The sequence below is a fragment of the Homo sapiens genome, chromosome 13 (genome assembly GCF_000001405.40).
Source record: "Homo sapiens chromosome 13, GRCh38.p14 Primary Assembly".
Taxonomy (NCBI): domain Eukaryota; kingdom Metazoa; phylum Chordata; class Mammalia; order Primates; family Hominidae; genus Homo; species Homo sapiens.
In genome coordinates, this window is record NC_000013.11 from 31,450,682 (window position 1) to 31,469,873 (window position 19,192).

General features: G+C 38.8%; 1 long non-coding RNA gene across 3 annotated transcripts in view; it reads left to right on the forward strand.

Annotated features, from left to right (window-relative positions):
- Window positions 1-19,192, forward strand: part of LOC105370150 (uncharacterized) — a 50,628-nt gene that overhangs the window by 30,693 nt on the left and 743 nt on the right. For all 3 annotated transcript variants that reach the window (XR_941830.1, XR_941829.1, XR_001749806.1), the window contains one exon: window positions 16,154-16,273. This is a non-coding gene — a long non-coding RNA (uncharacterized LOC105370150). The remainder of the gene's footprint in view (window positions 1-16,153; window positions 16,274-19,192) is intronic.

Here is a 19,192-nt window from a genome sequence, read left to right on the forward strand (position 1 = left end):
ATGGCTATCAATGGAAATTAGTGGATAAAGTCGGTACTTAGGGACTATCAAACATAAGCCAAAGTTAAGAACTATGTCTGATTACAAATACAAGCCCTGAATAAAGAAGTGGATATCATAGCACCCAACAGGCAGCTTGGGGGAAAAACTGGTATGAAATATTAACTTGATCACTTTCTCTATCAGTACGTGTTGTTGAGATTCTAGAATATGCTCCTTATTGTGCTTGGTTTTGGGGGATAGTGCTATATAAAGTGAGTCCCCTCTTCATGGAGCTTACAGACTAGTGGGGAGGGCAGACACTGCACAACAATGCACAAAATTTACTATCACAAGGAAAGTAGAGGGTGCTCTTACCCATTTAGGGGTTCAACAAGATCTCCTTGAGGAAGTAAAATGTAAGTTGGACTTGATGGTTGAATAGGATTTTGCCTAACCACAGGGAGGTGTCAGTCTTGATTGAAGAGAAAATGTGGCATTACAAGTTGAGGGAATAGCATGTGGAAAGCCTTAGAAGCAAGAGGGGATTTGGCCTTATATATAAGATGACAAACAGGAGAAAATGGAGGCAGGAGAGCTGGGCAACTGTCAGAGTCTGGAAGGCTTTGAAAGCAGGTAGGGAGCTTGATTTTTCTTCTAAAGAGAATGGAAAGTCATTGCAGGGTTTTAAGCAGGGCTGTGGCATGACCAACTTGGCCTCTTAGAAAGAGAACTGGAGTGGCCATGTGAAGGACAGATTGGCAAGGAGTCAGCCTAGGAGCAGAAAGACCAATGTGGAGGTTGTTGCACTAATTCAGATGAAAAATGAAGACTCAGGGTAGAGTGATGGGGAGAATTCACTGACTCAAATTGCACAGCCTGCCAGCAGGGCACATCTGTGCCATCTCTTTTTGGCCTTGGTAGGTCCTGGATTAGAATAAAAGGTATGGCCCATCTGGCCCTCAGGTGACCCAACATTTGGATCGTGACACTACGTACCAGAGGCAGTCTCATGGTATGCGGGAAAGATGGGGAAGACTGGGTTCAATTACCCTTACAGAGCTTCCTGGTCACATTCCTTGGATTTTAGAACAGGAGTCTGGTAACTTATAGCCTTTGGGCTTCCCATAGAAAGATTTGTTTTGCCTACAGTGTTTTTCTTTTTAAAATGAGCTAATTATCAATATTTTAATATTGTGATATTTTATATCAAAAGCTAGATTTTCACTCTCTAGAAAAATCAGATCTGGTTACGCTGGATTTCCATTTCTACCTGGTAACATCCTGACCATTTAGTTGAGGCCTATGCTCTTTCCTTTGCCACATTGCTCTCCACTCTCTATTGCCTCCCTGGTTCTGGGTATCATTTACTAATCATGGTGCTTGTGATAGAGGTGCTTGTGATAGAGGCAGAGAAATTCTAGGCAGACAGAAGTGGGTCCTCAGTGAAACCCCACCTCCAACTGAAGACAGTTTAAAGACTGAAAGCCAACCTACAAGTTAAATCTTTGGACCCAGATTGAGATCTTGTCTTCCTGTTTGGCAAGCTTTCCTCTGATTGGTCCCCATCCTTCACCTATTTTACATATACATAAGTCTGGCAAAGTGAGAATCTAAACTCCGGAATGAATTTGAAGGTTTTGTTTAAGGGAGAAGATTTAAGAAAGTATCCTAGGTTGAGCACGTGCACCAAAGGCAGACTTACCCCACCTCTGAAAGATATTTTGGTACCCCATGAAGGAAGGCAAGGTACTACCTGGTAATACTTTAAACCCTTTGTCATGCATTATTAGCCCTTTCATTCACAGGTTATAGAACCTTAGAACTGAAGGGATCCTAGGGATCACTTACAGGAGGGATTATTGAGGCTTTTCCAATGACAGAGAGAGTAAAGGATTTTCCCAATGAGACAAAACAGTGCAGTGAAAACTGATGTTCCTAATTGGTTTTTCTACTTTGTTGTGCCCACCTTTGAGTGGTGCCTTTGCTTTAACTTTATTTGCATACTCACAAACCAATCAGCACACACTCCCCATTCTGAGTCCATAAAAGGCCCCAGACCTGGCCACCAGGGGGATCTTTCTGGCCTTTGGGTAGGGGAACAATCCCTGCACCCCCAGCAACTGTGTTCCTGTCTCTGTTGAAAGCCATTTTCATCATTCGATAAAAATCTTCTCCATCCTCCTCATCTTTCAATGTCCCACATATCCTCATTCTTCATGGGCGCAATGCAAGAGCTCAGGAACCACTGAACACAGGGGAGCTGAGGCATACTAATGTGGCCAAGCAAGGCCTGGGAGGGGCATCACCAGCCAGGAGTCCCTGGCTTGTAATTCTCACACACAGCCTGGTTTTTCTCATTCATGTTCCCTGCTTGCATCTATAGGAGTTTACATTTTTGACCCCCTTTCTAGTGAATTTTCTTTAAAAACCCTGATTTGGCATTAAGTGACCTACTTTAAGCTAACAAGCACTAAGTCCCTCTCTTATAGACTTTACACTTAAACTAGAAAAAAAAGACACAAACATACATTTATTCATTCAATATTTCTTGAGTACCTGCTATGTTCAAAGCATGTGCTAGACACTAGGATACAAAGATACATAAAGGAATCCCAGCCATTGCCCTCATGATTTTTACAGTCCAATTATAATATAATAATTAAATTATTATTAAAATAATAATAGCAATATATAATAATATAATCACAGGCAAATTCACATATAAAAAGGTAAAGGTTTGCTCTGAGAAAGTAAATGGTTACTATAAGAAAGTGGAAGTAGAAGCCTTAATTTACATCAAACAACCAAGAAAGCTTTCCAAAATGCAGCACTTGCTCGCTGCTCTTGGAGTGGGTAGACAATGTGATGCTCTGAAGTATGTCTATCCTTCTGAACTGGGAGATGTCACACAAGAGTTACATGGAATACATGGTTTATGAGATTCAGATTTAACTCTGAACTGTCAGGAACATAAGTGAACTGCCCTTGAGGACTGTGAATCATCTCCTGATATCATTGAGCATCAAGACTGTCTACAGAAACATCAGTTTTCACTGCACTGTTTTGTCTCATTGGGAAAATCATTTACTCTCTCTGTCATTGGAAAAGCCTCAATAATCCCTTCTGTAAGTGATCCCTAGGATCCCTTCAGTTCTAAAGTCCTATAACCTGTGAATGAAAGGGCTAATAATGCATGACAAAGGGTTTAAAGTATTACCAGGTAGTACCTTGCCTTCCTTCATGGGGTACCAAAATATCTTTCACAGGTGGGGTAAGTCTGGTAAAGTGAGATTCTAAACTCCGGAAGGTTTTGTTTAAGGGAGAATATTTAAGAAAGTATCCTAGGTTGAGCATGTGCACCAAAGGCAAAGATATAAAATATGGGCCATGAAAATAAAGGAGTAAGGCTGGGCGCAGTGGCTCACTCCTGTAATCCCAGCACTTTGGGAGGCCAAGGCGGGCATATCACGAGGTCAAGAGATCGAGACCATCCTGGCCAACATGGTGAAACCCCGTCTCTACTAAAAATACAAAAATTAAATTAGCTGGATGTGGTGGCGCATGCCTGTAATCCCAGCTACTTGGGAGGCTGAGGCAAAAGAATGGCTTGAACCTGGGAGGCAGAGGTTGCAGTGAGCCGAGATCGAGCCACTGCACTTCAGCCTGGTGACAGAATGAGACTCTGTCTCAAAAAAAAAAAAAAAAAAAAAGAGGAGTAACCAAGTGTAAGGTAAAAATTGATGAGTAGGTGGCACCAGGGGAGAGTAAGAGAGAGGCTCAGAGATAGCCAGTGAAGCTGTGTGTTGAAGGAATTGGATCCATGACTAGAGAATTTAGTCTTGACCTGATAAGAAGGATCAAAGTGGTGTTTTAAGAAGATTATTCGAGCAGTTCTGCACAACAGGCAACTGCTTTCCCATCACCACCCTCAATGGCACTGACTAACAGTTTTCAAAGCCACCTACCTAACATTTTGGGTAGAGACTCTTGAGTTCCTATACAACAAAGGCTAAGCTTTTGGGTCTTAAAGGAATGACTCACGGCCTAAAGTCCGTTGGACTGTGATAAATAAACCTCGGATTGAAATGACATTATGAATACAAACAACTTTACACTTAGATTTTTCTTTTTTAGCCAATGGCTGAAAAATTTTTCATCAATCACCAGTCTGAATCAATCCTAGGTAATTTGCCATTATTAATCTCTTTTCTCCTCCTCCTTGGCTTGGCAAACACAAAGTCTGTCAACCAAAGTAAGAGAAAAAGGGAGCAGGGTGAACTGCTTTTCAAGCTCTCTGACTTACAATATGATCGTTCTGGTTATTTGCAAATGGCAGGCAGAGCTTCATTTTCCTGGATCCTTTGCTTTGAGAAGTTTGAGATTTGAGTTTTCTAAAGTCTCTCACCTATTTTAAAAGTAAAAAATGAAAAATAGTGCCCAACGATGCCTATACTATGCCATCAGAGTAGAATTAGAGTCATAAGTGGCCAAAGATTTCCACATTAATATTATTTAAAACCCAAGAATAAAGCCAACTGCCTGCCAAGATCCCTGACCATATCGCCAGAAGTTCCAAAGCACTAACCTGGACTATCGTGGCTTTTTTCAACTTAGTTTTATTATTTTATGTCTTCTAAATTTGAAAATTATTAACTCAGCAGGATACTAGCCATCAGAAGCAAACTTTAAACTCAATTTAGAAATTCCTTGGAAAAAAAAATACTAGGAGTATGTATCGTAGACCTCATTTTGAGAAATTTCCTTACAGGCTTTCCTTGTTTATCTTAAAGAATGAATTAAATCCCATCCCAACTTTGCAGATAGTCCAGAGGTAAAATGCATGTCACTGTAGGTTTCAAAGAACTTGTGGAGATTTTTGGTGGGGAAATGGAAGAAAAATGACAGACACCTTATATATCTAAATTATTTAGAGCCATTGTTTTGATACTTTGAAAACTTTTTTAGTGTAGGTGATGCAAAGTCAATCATAGTTTATCAGGTTTAAAGTTGGGGTAGTTGCTTTAAGCAAAAATGCTGTGTGCCTCTGAAAAATAAAGAAGCAAGGCATTAAAACACTATGACAGACAAGCTGGGCTTTATCACACATCACCTCCCATATTAGAGGTGTGCCCCAGTTGCTACAGGCCACATCTGCCAGCTTGTTAAGCAGCTGTGGATAAGGGTTTGCTCTATGCAGCAAGAAATTTTGTAAATAAACTTATATTTTAAATGTAACAAGAGAGATCCTAAAGAATTCTACCCTTTAATCTACTCTCTATATCATGTCTAAAATAATCTTTTTTTTTTTGTTTTTTTTAAGCCCTACAAATCAGAGCATGTGACTATTCTCTTGCTAAGAATGTTCAGTGGTTTCCTATTGCTTACCCTTAATCTCTTGTCTCCAGAAACTTCAATTTTCCTGCTCCAATTATAACAGTAACAACAACAAACTTCTTGGTCTGGTGACATAAAGTAAGAATTACTGCTAATCACACATGAGTCCTTTGGTAATTATATCTAAGTAGTCTTCTAGATTGAAATACCATGAATGCAGAGGAAACCATGGCAACACATTGATTTTTTTTTTTTTTTTAGCACTCTCTTACTGTTATGTTTTGTCATCCTTGAGGGAAGCTATCCCTTTTTATCTGGTGAACTTGTTCATTTCCACTTAAAGTATCACCTTTTTTGGGGTAAACTTGTCCAATACCTGCAGCAGTTAACTGTCCTAACCTTAATCCTAAAGCATTTGCATGTCCTTCTATTATAACAACTGGGTTTGATTATAATTATGCCAGAACAGCGTGGTCTCCTCCAGCATACTCGGAGATCTGAGAGGGCAGTGAATCCTGTTTTATACAGCTTTGTGTCTACAGTGCCTGAAATACAGACAGCACTTAAATGTCTCTTAAAAACATGACTTTATAAAACAATGATAAATCCTTTTATAAGAGCTCTTTTTGTGATATAAAGAACCGTACACCAATCAATTTAGTTAAGAGTCTGAATATCTGCCTGTTAGGTTTTCGTGAGTTGGGGTGCAACAATATGCCGTGTAGCTTCAGAGAGAACAATAGGAAAATTATCGCAGACAGATATTTCCATGCCTGATACAGTGACTTGTCCACCAGAATGTCACAATAGACTAAGGAAATTGGTGGAAAGGAAAACAAAAATCCCATGCTTCAATCTATTTTGTGATTAATTTTCAACCTCGGTTTTTTTAACGGACTGGAAAAGGGTTAATGACATTGTCTGGTTGAAGCTTCCTCGCCCTATCCCTAGAGGAGTTTCCATTATATACAACAATATTCAGAAGGCTGGAGGTATTTGGGGGAAGGAAGTCATTGATTAGCTGTGTTAGCATTTTGGCTGTCAATATCTTTGCATCTCCTCTTCAGCAATTCGGATTTAAAAGACACCTGCTAGACACACCTCAAAATTCCCTCCCTCCAGAAAGCCTCCTTTGGTCCCCCTCTCAACATATAAGCTCCCAAACAAAAATTTCTTACTTTTTTGTAAACATTTTTAAGCATTTCATGTCTGTTCAGGATTCCTAATGATAATGAAATCTTCCTCAGGGAAAAATGTACGTGTTCCATTTCTTTAATATCCTCTTTCCACAATGTTTTAGTCCCTTTTGTGTTGCTATAACAGAATACTTAGGACTGGGTAATTTATAAAGAAAAGAGGTTTATTAGCCCATGATTCTGTAGGCCTGGACCTATGAGAAGCATGACACTGAATCTGTTGAACTTCTGGTGACCACCACGTGCTTGCATGAGACATGGTAGAGAAAGTCCAAGGGGGAAGTGCACATGTGTGAAGAAGGAAAACTCAAGGGCATCCTCATCCTGTCTTTTAGACAAACTACATCCCTTGTAAGTTGTATTCCTAAGTATTTTATTGTCTTTGAAGCATTTGTGAATGGCAGTTCACTCATGATTTGGCTCTCTGTTTATTATTGGTGTATAGGAATGCTTGTGATTTTTGCACATTGATTTTGTATCCTGAGACTTTGCTGAAGTTGCTTATCAGCTTAAGGAGATTATGAACTGAGACGATGGGGTTTTCTAAATATACAATCATGTCATCTGCAAACAGAGACAATTTGACTTTCTGTCTTCCTATTTGAATACACTTTATTTGTTTCTCTTGCCTGATTGCTGACGCCAGAATTCCAATACTATGTTGAATAGGAGTGGTGAGAGAGGGCATCCTTGTCTTGTGCCAGTTTTCAGAGCGAATCTAATTAAACTAAAGAGCTTCGGCACAGCAAAGGAAACTATCGTCAGAGTGAACAGGCAAGCTAGAGGGTGGGAGAAAATGTTTGCAGTTTATCCATCTGACAAAGGGCTAATATCCAGAATCTACAAGGAACTTAAACAAATTTACAAGAAAAAAACAACTCCATCAAAAAGTGGGTGAAGGATATGAACAGACACTTCTCAAAAGAAGACATTTATGCGGCCAACAAACATATGAAAAAAAGCTCATTATCACTGGTCATTAGAGAAATCCAAATCAAAACCACAATGAGATACCATCTCACTCCAGTTAGAATGGCAATCATTAAAAAGTGAGGAAACAACAGATATTGGAGAGGATGTGGAGAAATAAGAACGCTTTTACACTGTTGGTGGGAGTGTAAATTAGTTCAACCATTGTGGAAGACAGTGTGGCAATTCCTCAAGGATCTAGAACAAGAAACACCATTTGACCCAGTGATCCCATTACTGGGTATATACCCAAAGGATTATAAATCATTCTACTATAAAGACACATGCACATGCATGTTTACTGTGGCACTATTCACAATAGCAAAGACTTGGAACCAACCCAAATGCCCTTCAATGGTAGACTGGATAAAGAAAATGTGGCACATATACACTATGGAATACTATGCAGTCATAAAAAAGCATGAGTTCGTGTCCTTTGCAGGTACATGGATGAAACTGGAAAACATCACTCTCAGCAAACTAACACGGGAACAGAAACCCAAACAGCACATGTTCTCATAAGTGGGTGTTGAACAAGGAGAACACATGGACACAGGGAGGGGAACATCACTCACCACGGCCTGTTGTGGGGTGGGGGGCTAGGGGAGGATAGCATTAGGAGAAATACCTGATGTAACTGATGTAGATTATATTGATGGGTGCAGCAAACCACCATGGCAAGTGTACACCTATGTAACAAACCTGCACATTCTGCACATGTATCCCAGAACTTCAAGTATAATTTAGAAAGAAAGAAAATTTTTACTAAAAAAAAAGAAAACAAACCACGTTCGAGGAATGTTCTCAAGAGAACTAATGTATGCCTGCCAGAGTGAGAACTCACTGCTGGGAGCACCATGCCACACCATTTGTGAGTGATCTGCCTCCATGACCCCAACACCTTCCACTAGGCCCCACCTCCAACATCACCACATTGAGCATAAAATTGCAACATGAATTTGATGGGGACAAACCCAAACCATATTCAAATAATAGTACATACCCAAAAGCAACAAGCACACACTTCACGTCATGTTGACAAATTAAATATTTACTTCTACAGGAAATCTTTACCATGTTGTCAACTGTCTCCTCATCCTCTACCCTCCCAACAAAATGATATATGGATGGTATTTAATTTAGATGACTTGGTTCTTTCCTTCCCTTCTTTATTTTGTTTTATTTAGAAAATGTTGTAGCACCTCTTAAAATTAATTGGGAGTCCCAAATTACTACAGATAAAATCTTATGATGCTACATCTCAAAACAAGAATAGAATCAGTGTTGTGGTAATTCTGATCACTTGAGTTTTAGTCCTGGCTCTGCCCTGATAGGCATTACTTTGGGTTAATCCTGATGTTACTTTGCATCATTGTTTTAGTTTCCTAATATGTAAAATAAGAAGAATAAATAATACCCTGTCACTGTCATCGAATTGGTGTAAAGATTATTTGGATAGGATGGAAACACACTTTGGAAAGAACAAGCCACTACTTTTGAGTGTCCTCACTTCCTTCCACCTGTTATCCAGGACATACACACTGAGGGGTGTGCTGGTAAAGACTCCAATCTGTAGCAGCTGCCAATTTCTGTGGTGTAAATACTCCCACTGTGGTTTATTTCAAGCCATCAATAATTTAGCATCCAGCTTCCAAAATTCTTGAATATTGAACAATTGGGTCTTGATACAGGCTGGCTTCAGCACACTCCTGCACATACCTCAGACTCTGAGGTCATATAATAGATTATTGTAAAATAACATAATAAAATAGCAAACCAGCCATTTCCAATGTGACAAAGTGAAGATTACTCCTAACTCTCATATAAGTCCTTCCATCGTTATATCTTAGTGGTGTTCTGGGTTTGGATACCATGAATGCAGGGAACACACAGCAACACATCAATTTTTAAAAATACTTGCTTACCTAGTCTATGACTGCTAACAAAATAAGATTTACTGTGGCCACCCAGTTAGAACGAAGTGGCTGTAACAATCTCTTCTGAGCTCGTTATCTTATGTCTTAAGTGAGGAAAAAGTAGTAATAATCATCACTACAGTTAATGTTTAATGAATGCTACTCATCTTTTCCTCACAGCCACCTTGTGTGACATGTAATTATTATTGCCCATGTTACATGGCAGGAAAGTGAAGTTTAAGTGCACAGGAGGCAGAGGGAGGAGCAGAAATGCAATCGGAGGCAGCTTGGTGTCAGCCAAGGCTCTCCACCAGCTCCCTTTTCCCTGTGAACTATCTTCAGCATAATGCTTGTGTTAAGTTTCTTAACCTATTCTACCAATAGGAATAACTATTTGCATTTATCACAATGCAGTCATGTTCACTTTCCACACTCTTGACTTTACAGCAGGAAGCCTTCTTGAAAAATCCTGCTTATTAAAATGGGAGCTAGTTGGTTTCTATTAATGGCTCAGATATTCATCTAATTATTTGATTTTAATTTAGGCTATTTTTTCCATATGGTAATTGTAGATTCCCCTGCACTGGATATGTAACAGGGTAGAATGTTTGCTCCAAAATGGTTGAAATAAGTGGTGTAATATAACTTCATTGTATAAACTCTTCTTATTTCTTTACTATCAATTCAAGCCCCTAACTCTACACAAAGTTCTCTTTTGGACTTCGACTTTTATATTATTTTGAATATCCTACAAATAGAACTTTATATTTGCTCTCTAAACACACCAAGAACAAGAGAAGAATAAAGTCTAACACTGAGTGCCCATTACATTGGGAAGGAGTGTCAGTTGTGTGAATTTGGGAGAAAGGTCTGTTTTTTTCAATGAATGATGGCTTGCAGAGGAGAGGTACAGCGGAGATTGGGTTGGAGGTTATGTTTATAGCAAAGCAAAAGCCATGAGAGTCTAAACTGCAGTTCAGTTCTCCCAAGGAAACAGCTGAGAAAAAGGGCATAAACAGACTACATTCAGATAGGTTTCAGTGTATTAAGTGCTGTAGAGGAGAAATTCTGTTGTACAGAACTCTTTATTGTTATGATACCTCATGTCCTGTTTGGAACTTTCCTATATACAAATGGAAGGAATTGAGAAGGATGGGACACAAGGAGACCTATGGAGGATCCTACCCATCTTTTTTTCTTTTTTTCTTTTTTTTTTTTTTTTTTTGAGACAGAGTCTCACTCTGTTGCCCAGGCTGGAGTGCAGTGGAGCGATCTCGGCTCACTGCAAGCTCCGCCTCCCAGGTTCACACCATTCTCCTGTCTCAGCCTCCCGAGTAGCTGGGACTACAGGCGTCTGCTACCACGCCCGACTAATTTTTTTGTATTTTTAGTAGAGACGGGGTTTCACCGCGTTAGCCAGGATGGTCTCGATCTCCTGACCTCGTGATCCCCCCGTCTCGGCCTCCCAAAGTGCTGGGATTACAGGCGTGAGCCACCGCGCCCGGCCCCATCTTTTTTTATTATGGAAGGCTTCCCCAAGCTTCTTTGTCAGTGCACACCAGTGAAGATGTTTTCCTGTCTGCATTTCCTGGCTGTATAGGTAAAGCATGCTGCCTGGATCCTCTCTGCAAGTAGCAATAGTTTATAAAAAGCTTAGTGTGACCTATCAAGAGTTTGCACTGCACAAACAAGCATAGCAGGGTTATAGTCTACTGGTATTTTAAGAAATGAGTCTTCTAGAAAATGATTTCCACTCCCTTTCCCTCTTTCTCCTTTTTAACAATCCCATTTCAGAATTGTAAAATCCTTTAAATTATTTTTGAATGTAAATAATGGTAAAAATAATCAATAAATACTCAATCCATTCTAGGCTATAAAACTTTTCTCTCTTGATTTAGGCTTCTCTGTATTCCAGAAATAATTGATTCATTGCAAGTGCTAAGTGAACAATGAAAGTGAGAAGTAATGAGAAGTATGGTTCCGTTTGGTACAAAGACAATTTCAGTGGAACTTCAGCTAGAATTAATTATTTATTTATTTATTTATTTATTTATTTATTTATTTATTTGAGGCAGGGTCTCATTCTGTCGCCCATGCTGGAGTATAGTGGCCAATCTTGGATCACTGCAACCTCTGCCTCCTGGGTCCAAGCAATTCTCATGCCTCGGCCTCCTGAGTAGCCGGGATTACAGGCGTGCACCACCATGCCTGGCTAATTCAGCTAGAATTAAAGTTGTACATTATGGAACTACATAAATGAGGAGAAGCTTTAAAGTATTTCCACTAAGAGGAGAGGTTCTCCATTCTACTCTCTACCTCCATGAGGTCAATTTTTTTAGCTCCCACATATTTGTGAGAATATGCATATGTCGCTATTTCTTTACTTATACATTTAACATATTTCTACTAACTCTCCACTATGAAAGATGAGGATTTACTTCCATTACTTATCCAAGTTTTTTTTTTTTTTATCTCTCCATTTGGATTTTTGGCAGTGATTATTTTAGTTTTGTTGCTTGCCTTTGTAACTTTATATATCATATTTAAACTTCTATTTCTTACTTCACCAACTTAAGCTGTTATATCTTGACTTTCTATTATATTAGATGAGGATATTATTATTTACTTCCTTCTTTTCTACACTCTTCTCATTTTATATCATCAAGGTTGATGTTTATATTCTGTTTTGTAATACATTTAAGGTTGAGGATTAATTCAATGAGTTATCTCTCATAGTTGATAAGAAATAAATAAATGTATGTAATTAAACTATTTGCTTTTCATTTCTTGCCAAGTAAAATAGGATTGCATTTCATTCTCCATGGGTGCAATGCCCTAACTCCTGTGTCATTTGAAGGCGACAATTCACAGCATGGAACCTAAGTGGATTTTCTTTTCTTAGACTCCCTCTATTGTTCGAAATCATGCCATAGTTCACTTTGCAATGTATTTGGACGTGCCTTTCTTATACAGTTTTACAGCTTTCTTAACTGTTCTAATTAACTCCTCCCCCTCTTGTTGTGAGTAGAAACATGTTTTTGTTTTTATTTTTACCACTTTTTACTAATATAAGATAGTTCTGTAGTCTTGGTATATTGCTTGGAATCCATCCTATTCCCTTTTATTCTTAGAATCCAGTGGCTTCTTCTTTTTTTTATTTTATTTTTTGAGATGGAGTCTCGCTCTGTCGCCAGGCTGGAGCACAATGGTGTGATCTTGGCTTATTGCAACCTTTGCCTCCCAGGTTCAAGTGATTCCCCTGCCTCAGGCTCCCCAGTATCTGGAACTACAGGTGCACGCCACCATGCCTGGCTGGCTAATTTTTGTATTTTTAGTAGAGATAGAATTTCACCATGTTGGCCAGGATGATCTCGATCTCTTGACCTCATGATCTGCCCGCATTGGCCTCCCAAAGTGCTGGGATTACAGGCCTGAGCCACTGCGCCTGGCGGGCTTCTTATTTTTAATTTGAACCAGTTGTTTACTAGATATTCTGCATAACTGTCATGCTGGCAACATTTTCACTGAGCTCCTCAGTAAAGTTCATTATTTCTTACAGCCCATGATTTCCTTTCTCTTTACCCCTGTTATTCTCCGTAGAGGGAAAAAATGTATGGTGGGTATATTCTGAGCTCTTTTCCAAAAATGCTTTCGTTTGTCTTAACTCTCATTGAAAAATTGGGTGGCCATAGTAGTCTAGGTTTAAAATCATTTTTCCTCAGAACTGAAATATCAAGTCATCTGATGATGTTTATATTCTGTTTTGTAACTACCTTCTCTAAAAGTTGAAAAGTAATAAATAGTATTTACATAAGAATAGCGATTTGCATTTTGTTTGTTGCCACGTAAAATAAAGTGCTAGGATTGCATTTCATTCTCCATGGTCCAATGCCCTGATTCTTGTGTCCATTTAGTGTTATTGATGAGACATTAAATTCCTGGCTGAGTCTCATTTTCTGTATTTTGCAATGTGGAAGTTTTAGGGCTTCTCCTTCCCCTTAGCATTTTGAAATTTCATGGCAATATATTTAGAGGGTTTTTAAATGTTTCATTACTTCTTCTTGGATCTCTGTATTCTCTTAAAATTCCTGGATTAGGTTCTCTTATCTTTCATGCTTGAGTATTTCAGTTTCGTATTCTAGGAGATTTCCTTCACTTTAACCTTCCAAACTTCTATTACATTTAAAGATATTTCAAAATCACGTTTCCTTTTCAAGAGTTATTTTTTATTTTTATGATTTCTATTTTATAGTATCCTTTTCTTCTTTAATGAATGGAATATATTCTTTAAACAGCTTTACTGAGGTACAATTTATATATTATAACTTTCACCCTATGTAAGTGTGCAATTCAGTGATCTTTGGTAAATTTAGAGTTGTTCAGCCACCACTACAATCTAGTTGCATAATATGTCCATCACCTCAAGAAGGTCCTTGTGCCCATTTATAGTCAACTTCCATTTACAGTCAATTTCCATTCTCATGCTCATCCTCAGTCAACAACTAATCTGCTTTCTATCTATACAGATTTGTATTGCAGTCTTTTGCACCAGGTTTCTTTCACTAGCATGTTTTTGAGATTAATCCATTTTGTGGCAAGTATTAGTAGTTGATTTCGTTTTTATTGCTTAATAGTATTCCATTGTGTGGATATACTACATTTTGTTTATTCATTCATCAGTTGATGGGTATTTGAGTTGTTTTCAGTATTTGGCTGTTATGAATAATTCTGTACAAACAATTTATGTTGAGTGGACTTAAGTTTTCATTTGTTTTAAGTAGATATCTAGGAGTAAAATTGCTGGGTCATATGGAAAGTTTATGTTGAACATTTTAAGAAACTGTCAAACCGCTTTCCAAAGCCACTCCCTGATTTTTACCTTTTTACCAGCGATGTATACAGAACCTCAACTTCATAGAGAATGGCAAGCAGGAAGGGTGCCACAGCTCCATGAGTACTCCTGGAAAGCAGACAACAAGCCTTAAGACAGTTACTTACTCACGGCACAGAAAACAGCAGCAGCGTAATTGTGCCAGTTTGCCTCGTCCTCAAGTCCCATAAAGAGCCTAGATAGATGCTCGGCCTGCAGGGGGTTGCACAGCGGTAGAGGGACCCAGGATTAAGGCCCAGAACCCTTCGTAGCAAATAGCAAACAAGTCAGTCCATGTCTCCAGGGGAGCAAGAAGTCACACCGCAATCAAGCTATGGTTGCCTCCATGTATTAGTTGCCTTCTTTACCAGCTATAGAAACTGCTCACATTTAAGGAAAGAATAATCCTTGCAGTTTGGCACATGCAGCAGTAAGCAGGAAGGCTCAGAGCCCACAGCCGACTTTCTCCCCCAACAGTGATAACAGGGAAGCTTGTGGAAATTGGTTAGATCCAGCATATATTTTAAAAACAGCTGATAGGATTTCCTTTTAGATTCCAATGTTGCCATTGGGAATTCCTATGCCATTCTTTGTGACAATCCTTGTTTTTACTATCATTTTTTTTTATTTTGGTAGTAAAAATACATTCATCTCATTAGTTAAGTTAGTTGTCTCATTGATGTATGCTTGGTGCCTAGATGGGCACCTGATGCCGATCTGATGTAAGTGTTACTTGCTGTAAGTGTTCAGTAAATTATCTTATGACTGACCAAATGAAATCAGTTTAACTGTTAGCCTTATTATCAGTATATAAAAATACTCTCAGTGGAACCAAGTAGTGCACTATGATATATTTCTTTTTACATGGGACAATTTTCTTTTGCTTGGGTCAATCATTGCCTCATTTTTCTCTGCTCAGGTGACTAAATCTCATCACGAATTGATCCTGGACTCTCTACCACAAGTTTAACTGTCTTCCCCAAATAGCCAAACATATAGCATAATCCTCAGATTCATTTTCTTAGAGACACCTGTACTCGAGCCCTCAGTTCTCTTGCACTGATATATACACATTATTTTCTGCACTTCTTGTACATCTCTTTCCTGGGGTTCTCATCTGGGAAACCCCTTAATTCTTGCAGTTGATTTACATCCTCCAGAACATGGCTGAAAGGCTGGAAAATGGTCTATGGGAGAGACACTTTGAGGCCTACCATGTCTGAGCTATCTTTACAATATGTTAGCACCTGACTGGACCTGAGAGATTGGTTGAGTACAGTACTTTCGAAATCAGTTTCCTTCAAAATTCTAAGGTTTGTTTTGTCTTTTAGATTCCAGTGTCACCACTGAGAATTCCTATGCCATTCTTTGTGACAATCCTTGTATATTACCTGTTTTACCCCCTTCAGGATTATGTATTGATCACCTATATTGTAACAGTCCACAACTATGTTTCATTTTGTGTGTTGGTCATTCAGTGAATTATTCTTTTAGTAATTCCCTTCCGTGTGTGTGTTTTGTTTTTTTTTTATTTTTCTCCTCAGAGCTCCTACTATTTAAATTTTAGATGGTCTGGACTTGTCCTCTAAATTTATTCTATTTTTTCTCCTAATTTTCATCTCTTTGCCCTTTGTTCCACTTTTGTTCCACTTTCTGGGAGATTTTCTTCCCAGGAAATCTTTACAGTTCAAACCTTCTACTGACTTTTTCCTGCTGTCATACATTGTTATGAGTTGCATTATGTCCCCTAAAAAGGTATGTTGAAGTCCTTACCCCCAATGCCTCAGAAGGTGACTTTATTTGTGAACAGGGTCTTTGTAGATAGAATCGAGTTAAGATGAGGTAATAGGGTGGGGTCTAATCCAATATGACTGGTGTCCTTATAGGAAGAAGATAGAGACAAACAGGGAGAACAACATGTAATGGCAGAGGCAGAGATTGCATCGATGCAGCCGCAAGCTAATAAATGCCGAAGACTGACAGCCACCACCAGGAGCAAGGAAGAGGTAGGGAAGGTTCTGCTCAGAGTCTCAGAGGGAGCATAGCCCAGCTGACACCTTCATATTCCAATTCTAGCTTCCAAAACTATGAGAAAATAAATTTTGGTTGCTTTAAGCCTCCCATTTTGTGGTAATTTGTTATTGCAGCCCTAGGAAAATATTACGTAGATGTAATGTCCAAGATCTCTTGTCAAACTTTCTTCTTTTTTTTAAATTTACATTGTATGTTTCCTCAAAGATTCCTCCTCTCCCCTCCTCTCCTCTCCTCTTTTCTTTTCTTTTCTTTCTCAGGGTCTTGTTCTCTTGCCCAGGCTGGAGTGCAGGGACATGATCATAGCTCACTATAGCTTTGAATGCCTGGCCGATCCTCATGCCTCAGCCTCCCAAGTATCTGGGACTACAGACACTCACCACTAGGACTGGCTGATTTTTTTTTTTTTCATAGACACTGAGTCTTGCTATGTTGTCCAGGCTGGCCTCAGACTCTTGGTCTCAAACAATCCTCCCACCTCAGCCTTCCAAAGTGTTGGGATTATGGATGTGAGCCAGCCTTCCTTCCTTCCTTCGTTCCTTCGTTCCTTCCTTCTCCCTTCCTTCCTTCCTTCTTTCCTTCCAATTTGTTCTGTTTGGTCTCTGTCTTCCACATTAATGGTGTTTTACAAATGTCTGATGCTGTTAGTCACCCATTCGATTTCAAGACTATCACTCTAAAACATTGATTAGAAGTCCCTTGTTATGGGCAGGGCTCATTGAGAGTGACGGGCTGAAAGGCTCCCTTGGGGAAGCTTGGGTCCAGTGCCTGAAGTATCAGTTATTAGTAGATCTCTTTTCTTGGTAAATTTCATCGGAAAGTCGCTCTTTAATTTTCTGCCTGGGAGTGAGGCTGTGAGTGAGGGAGTTAAGGGTTTCCCTTTTTGTATGAAAGGGTCCCCAGGACTAGTGCACCTCCCACGCAGTCTCCTCCAGCCTTCTGCCAGGCTGGGGCAGGGTAATTACCTAGTTCAGGGGGACTGAGGAGGGATCTAGGGGTTTAACTGCTTCTGTTACAGATTTTCAATCAATTTTCTGTTTTTAGCTTCTTCTGTGCCCATTTTCAGAGGTGACTCGTGCTTCTGAAGTGGTGTCCTTGTCTGGGGTAAATACCCGAGGTTCATCATCTCATGCCAGGGAAATCGAGGACGCAGATACACAAGAAGTGAGTTTAAGGCCAGAGGTTTAATGGAAGAAAGAAAGAGAATAGTTCTCTCTCCTGCAGAGAGAAAGGGGCTGCTGAGTGGGTCTTTGGTTCTGAGGTGAAATGCACGGGTTTTTATATATCAGCTTGAAGAGGCAGTGTCTGATTTACATAGGTCCCAGAGGATTGGTTGGGCCAGGTGTGCCATTTACATAGCGTTGAAGAGGCTGGCCATCTCCCACCCTAATATTTTATTATGCAGATGGTGTCTCTACCTGGCTGGCGCCTTGTTGCCTGCTTTTTTACTGCACATATGGTGTCAAAGAAAAGGGAAGGGGGAACTTCCATGTTGAATATGCCCGGCCCCCGGGGTAGCCTTTTCCTTTTGGGAGAGCTGCCCACATTAAACTATGCAAGCTTCCAGCTTTCTTATTTATGTCTGCAGCCTGATTTTACCGGCTGCTCTTTGTTAGAAAAGAAATGATTTGGGGGCTGCTTTTTGTCACAAGGAAAGCCTTATCGAAGACTCTCTTACCCTAACTGCCTAAATAATTTCTTTTTAACTCCTGTATCACTTCTACTTCCTCTGTATCTGGAGTTCTGCAAAACGACTCGTTTTGCTTCTGGCCTTCACTAGGATTTCTCAACAGTGCTGTGTTAGGTTTCAAAATTTTCCAATCTGTAAGATCAATTAATATTCATCTGTCTTACAGTCAGCAAAATTTTATTGCTGTCGTCTTTTTTCCTGTCTACAACTTCTAAAAGTTCTCTCTTGTTTAAAAGTGGTGCTGTAGGAAAACGAGGCAAACTTGTATATTGAAGTCACCGTGTTTAATCCATTGCTTTCAATCTTTTTTTTGTCATTATATTTTCAGTATAATTTTTATAAACAGCAAATTGCTTTATTGAAAATAATCTAATTGGAGAGTCTTCATCTTCTACAAGGAGTTTCATTAAATAACAGTGATTGTCAGGATACATGGATTTATTTTATCAGTCTTATTTTGTTCTTTTTATTTATTATGCTTCTTTTCCTCCTCTTTGACTTCTGTTGAATTGATGGAGTTTTCTTCGTTCTTTTTAATTTCTACCACATTTTACTTCTAGTCTTTTAGTAATTCCCACTTATTTGACATAGTCTCAGTTAATCAACATCTCTGCCTTCTCCTTAGCAATATAAGAAACTCTGACCATTTTAACTCAGATATTTTCTCACATTACTGATGCTCTGTATTTTAATCCTATCTAGCTTATAACAGATATTTGTCATTTTTATAATTATTCTTAGAGTTTATTTATAGCTACCCATAAATTGATCATGCTTTCCATTGCTTCTTACATCCTGTTTCCTCTTTCTGGTTAGATTTTTTTCTTTTCATATTTTCTTTCTTTTTATTCTCCTATTTTTTCTCTATTTTTATTTTTAATTTTATTTTTAATTTATTTTTAATTTTATTTTTAATTTATTTTTCATTTTATTTTATTTTTAATTTTCCTTCTTTTCCAAGTGTTTAAAATTAACATGTTAATTAACATCTCAATTAGCTTTTAAGTCACTGCTGGAAGCTATTTTACCCTTCAGAAACATTCTAGATACAATAAACATTCTAGATACAATAAATTAAACATTCTAGATACAATAAAATATTCATATTTTGTGTTACTGTGTTGGATTTTCCCCATCCATCACCCAAGACAAATGGGTAACTCCCATACTTCATTTAGTAGTTAATATAAGGATAAGCATAAAT